Source organism: Homo sapiens, chromosome 12 (genome assembly GCF_000001405.40).
Source record: "Homo sapiens chromosome 12, GRCh38.p14 Primary Assembly".
NCBI classification, from domain to species: Eukaryota; Metazoa; Chordata; class Mammalia; order Primates; family Hominidae; genus Homo; species Homo sapiens.
Genome location: NC_000012.12, coordinates 49,532,983 through 49,538,337, shown reverse-complemented (window position 1 = coordinate 49,538,337; position 5,355 = coordinate 49,532,983). Strand labels below are relative to the sequence as shown.

The 5,355-nt window shown below is 52.1% G+C and overlaps 1 annotated feature.

The window, feature by feature from the left end:
• Positions 228-347: a silencer, noted in NCBI's record as "silent region_4438". NCBI's record gives its function as "represses an Ori minimal core promoter by ATAC-STARR-seq in GM12878 lymphoblastoid cells {active_cell/tissue: GM12878}" and the evidence as "EXISTENCE:reporter gene assay evidence [ECO:0000049][PMID:35858748]".

The window sequence follows — 5,355 nt, the reverse complement described above, 5'->3', positions numbered from 1 at the left end:
TGGGGAGGGGAGCGCCAGACCCCTTGTCCTGCCCCTCCATTTCCCTCTGGCATTTGTCACCTCTTGCCTCTCCTAAGCGCGCTAGAGGGTCAGGTGGTAAATACAGGGGACCGGCAGGGGTCAGACACTGCGAAAAAACTTCCGAACCTTGTGCGTGCGGGTCCTGGCACCAGGAGAGCGAGGAAGGCCGAGCCCCGCGCCTCACGCAGCTCGTCCTGGAGAGCTCCGCGCGGCGCCGCGCGGGGTGCTGCCCTGGGGCGGCTGCAGGGAGCCCCTTCCCGGCGGGGCGGAGCCGGGCCCGGGGCGGCCGTCTTTTCTTGGCCTCCCGCGCTGCGACGGTCCCCCGGACTTGCCTGCCAGCGCCGCTCCTCCTCCCTCCCACGATTTGCCAGCGAGCGCGGCTGCCGCCCGCGCCCAGAGGAGCCGCCGGGGCCAAAACAGCAATTTGTTCCCTAACGAGCGAAGCGGTAGGCTCAGCACCCCCATCCCTCGAGACGCACTCACAGTCACCAGCATCAGAAAGATGCTACCCCTCATCAGCGACGAGAGCCAAAGCCCCAGGCACCTGTATCTAAATGAGCTGGCGCTTTGGGAAGGGAGGACGCGCTCCTCCTTCTCCGGTCCTGTGAAGCCTGGAATCTGGTCCCCAGGACGAGGAGTGACCCTGAGGAGTGACCCTAAGGAGTCGGGAGATCCTACTCCCATCTCATCCCCAGCCTTGGCTGGATCCTGGCTGTAAAGTAATCCCCTCCCCCAGCCGTTCAAGGCTTCCTCTCCAGGCGGCGGTCCAGCTGTCTACTAAAAAGAAGGACATTTTAGGAGTCAGTTCACTTTGAGACAGGATAAGGCCACAATTGAAATCACCCACCCACTTGGGAACCAGGTCTGCCACTTGCTGTCCCTGTGATTAAATTTTTTTTTTAATTTTGGTCTGTGTGAATTTTTTTTTTTTTTTTTTTTTTTTTGTGACGGAGTCTCCCTCTGTCGCCCAGGCTGGAGTGCATTGGAGCTATCTCTGCTCACTGCAACCTATGCCGACCAAGTTCAAGCAATTATCCTGCCTCAGCCTCCCAAGTAGTTGGGACCACAGGCATGCGCCACCACGCCCCGCTAATGTTTGTATTTTTAGTAGAGATTGGGTTTCACCATGTTGGCCAGGCTCATCTCGAACTCTTGACTTCAGGTGATCTGCCCGCCTCAGCCTCTCAAAGTGCTGGGATTACAGGCGAGAGCCACCACACCTGGCCTGTCTGTGTGATTTTTAAAGGCAAGTTATTAACCCTTCTCTGACTCAGTTCTCTCATCTGTAAAATGCGGATGCTAATAATAACATCAGAGGGTCGTAATGAGGATTCAATGAGTGAGTATGTGTAGAGGATCTAGAACAGTGTGTGACACCTGCAACATGTAAATGTTTGTTGTCTGATTTTGAGTCTCCTAGGAGCCCTGTGAAACAGCCAGGGTGGGGGCTCCTTATGCTCCATTTCACAAAGGAGGAACCAGAGCTGAGAGAGAGGGAGAGAGGAAGAAGAAGAAAGAAGAAAGAAGAAGAAGGAGGAGAAGGAGAAGAAGGAGAAGAGAGAAAGGAGGAAGGAGAAAGGAGGAAGGAAGAAGAAGGAAGAAGTTAAGAAGAAGAAGAGGTGGAGGAGGAGGAGGAGGGGAGGGAGAGGGAGAAGAGGAGGAGGGGGAGGAGGAGGGAGAGAGAGACTTGCTCAAGGTAACAGAGTTGATAAATGACACAGCCAGGGTTAGAACCCTGACAGTCTCCCAGCCCTAGGTCGTTGGGTCTACCTCTCTCTAGCCTAACTGTGTGGGCACTCAGAGGACTGGTCATCTGGGCTTGTGTAGCATGTCTGGGTGGCCTTACACTTATCCCTGTAAGGCCTAAGTGTTTAGACTTTCAGGCTTCCAGCTCACCTGCTGGGGCTGGTTTTGGGCATTAAGCCAAACCAGACACCTTGGGTTAGGGTGATCAGGGTGAGATGGAATGTGTGGGGTGCCCCTGAGGATTACAGCAGCTTACACTTATTGAGCATTAACTTTGTGCCAGGCACTGTGCAAAGTGCTTTACTTGGATCGTCCCATTAATCTTCATAATAACGCTATGAGCTAGTTATTAGCTATAACTGCCAATTCACGGATGAAAAACTTGGGGCAGCGAGGTCAAGTCCCTAGTCTGAGGTGCACTGCCTCCTCCAGCAGCTCCAGGCACAATGCCCATGTCACCCTTTGCTGCCCTGGTTCCCACTTCCAGGAGAAGAAAATACACTAATATTTATGGAATGTTATTACCATTCTTATTGCAGAGTGAAAAGTCAAAGGCCTGTTTGGGCCTTTAAACCCCTTCCCCCATTGCCCCTCAAAGAACTCATGTGAATGCGTACTGGGAGGGGGTACCGCCACTGACCCTTTCCTTTATGTGGCCTGTTTTAGATGAGCGTGATCAGGCACAGGATCTCAGCCCACTATCCTCTCTCTTCACCTTTACCCAGTCCCTCAGATCTTCCTGCCAGACCTGGCTTTTGTTTGTATGGATTCCCCCAGCTCTTAGTCACAATTCCCTATCTTTTTTTTCTATTCTTTTTTAATTTTTATGTTTTTTCTTTTATTCCTTTTTTTTGAACGGAGTCTTGCTCTGTCACCCAGGCTGGAGTGCAATGGCATGATCTCGGCTCACTGCAACATCTGCATCCTGGGTTCAAATGATTCTCCTGCCTCAGCCTCCCGAGTAGCTGTGATTACAGGTGCCTGCCACCATGCCCAGCTAGTTTTTGTATTTTTAGTAGAGACGAGGTTTCACCTGGGTTGCCAGGCTGGTCTTGAACTCCTGACCTCAGGTGATCCACCTGCCTCGGCCTCCCAAAATGCTGGGATTACAGGCATGAGCCACCTTGCTTGGTCCTCTTTTATTCTTTTAATTCCCTATCTTTTCCTTCCATCTTTCCTCCAGCCCCCAACCCACATGCACAAAGGGCAGGGACCCACATTTAGGAGAGAGTAAGACGGGCATTGGGGAGTTGAAAATTGAGCAGGGCCCTGGGAGATGGGCACCATAGTCCTCCTCACTGTAACTCCTTTTCCTCTCCCCTTCCGCCAGCTCTTGACGCATTTGGCCGTGGTGGGGAGTCACAGGGAGGGGAATGTTGAGGAGGATCCCTGTTCAGAGATGCTCAAAGCCTCTGTCAACAAGAAACTCGGGAGGCTGCATTTTGGAGCTGCCGTGGGAGGCCTGTGGGAGTATTAGCTACAAAAAGGAATATGGAGAGACAGTAGGGAAGCGCAAAGCAAGGAAAAAACCGCTCAAGACACAAAGGATGGAAAAAGTCCCCCTACCCCGCAACCACAAAGCGCAGGCGGAGTCAGACACTGTGCTCAGGGAGTGGGAATAGGCGGCTGTCGAGGAACAGAGCCCAGGGGCCCCTCCCCTCTCCCCGTCTCTTCCCACTCTCTCCACCTTCCTCTCTGGAGGTCCCCAGGCCTGAGCCTGGCTCTCAGCCAGCAAGGCCAGGCTCTGCTTCTAAGGTGTGTTGTATGGTGGGAAAATCTTGGGCTTTCAAGTCAGACTAGTTGGGGTTCCAATCTAGCTCTGCCACTGGCCAGCTGGGAGACCCAGGGTGTGCAGAGGTACTTTATCTTGCAGAGCATCGGGTCTTTTGATTTGTGAAATGAACCTTAGCCAGCTGTTATTTTTAAAAAGCCCTGGCCTGGCCGGGCACAGTGGTTCACGCCTATAATCCCAACACTTTGGGAGGCCGAGGTGGGCGGATCACTTGAGATCAGGTGTTCAAGGCCAGCCTGGCCAACATGGTGAAACCCCATCTCTACTAAAAATACAAAAATTAACAGGGCATGGTGGTACACGCCTGTAATCCCAGCTACTCCGGAGGCTGAGGCAGGAGAGTTGCTTGAACCCAGGAGGTGGAGGTTGCAGTAAACTGAGATCGTGCTACTACACTCCAGCCTGGGCGACAGAGCCAGACTCTGTCTCAACAACAACAACAACAACAACAACAACAACAACAACAACAACCACCACAACCAATCTCTGGCCCTCGGTGCTGGGACCAGGGAAATGAGCTCAGGATGAAGCCTGAGGGTTCCCCCTCCCCACCAAAATAAAACATTTTGGAATTCTTTGAGGCCTCTAGTATTTGGCCACACCTTGGCTGTCTCATTCTAGGAGATTCCTTTTCTTTTAGTGGAAGACCCTGGCTAGAGTAGAGTGGGAACAGACCACAATCAACTTTTTTTTTTTTTTTTTTGAGATGGAGTCTTGCTCTTGTGGCCCAGGCTGGAGTTGAATGGTGTGATCTCGGCTCATTGCAACCTCCGCCTCCCAGGTTCAAGTGAGTCTCCTGTCTCAACCTCCTGAGTAGCTGGGATTACAGGCATGTGCCACCACGCCCAGCTAATTTTTTTATTTTTAGTAGAGACGGGGTTTCACCATGTTGGCCCGGCTGGCCTTGAACTCCCGACCTCAGGTGATCCGCCTGCCTCGGCCTCCCAAAGTGCTGGGATTACAGGTGTGAGCCACTGCGCCCGGCCCACAATCAACTTTCAAACAAGGGAAACCTGGGAGGCACAGAGTTGTGTTTACAGATAAAGAAACTGGCCCATATTGCTTGGCTAGTAAGAAAAAGAATCAGGTCTGAACCAAGATTTGACTAGGATGACGGCAATTCAGGACTATGCCATGCAGTGCGGCCACTTTGTCTTCTCCTTTGGTAAACAGCCTATGAAAAGGGAACGGCATGGTTATTTCTGACAGATGGTCAGTGACCTGTGGTGAATGCCCATTGTGAACAACACCTGGACTCCACGCCAGGTGAGACACTGCAGTTAACTGCAGGACCCGAAGGGAAGGTGGCCAACATAGCCCTGCCGGAGTTGGCGAGGGAGTATGTGCCCAGCCTCCTGAGAAATCTCATCCTCTCAATCCGTGTGTTCTAGCAGCACCAGAAAACAGGTGTGTCTGAAATCGAGTTACAGAGAAAGCCTAACTCGGTTAAATTGAAGAGACATAAAAAGGAGACCTGACTTTTCCCTAAGGAATTGGAGTGGGTGGTATTTGTTCCTGCTGTTTTGACAGCAGTGAAGGGACAGGCAGGAGAATAGTTGTGCTGCTGGGTGAGTTTCTTAACCCAGAAGCATCTTTTTTGGATAGTTTCCTCCTTGGAACTGAGTATCAAGGTAGGTAATAAAACTCCCTCATCACCTGTATGGAAATAATGTTCCCTGACTTTCCCCTGGGAAACCCTGGCCCCAGCTTCACCTGTGTGCTGCTGCAATGGTTACTGTGTTAGCCGAGGTCAGCTCCATCAGCATCTGCCTGCCACACCCACGTAGCTCTGAAAC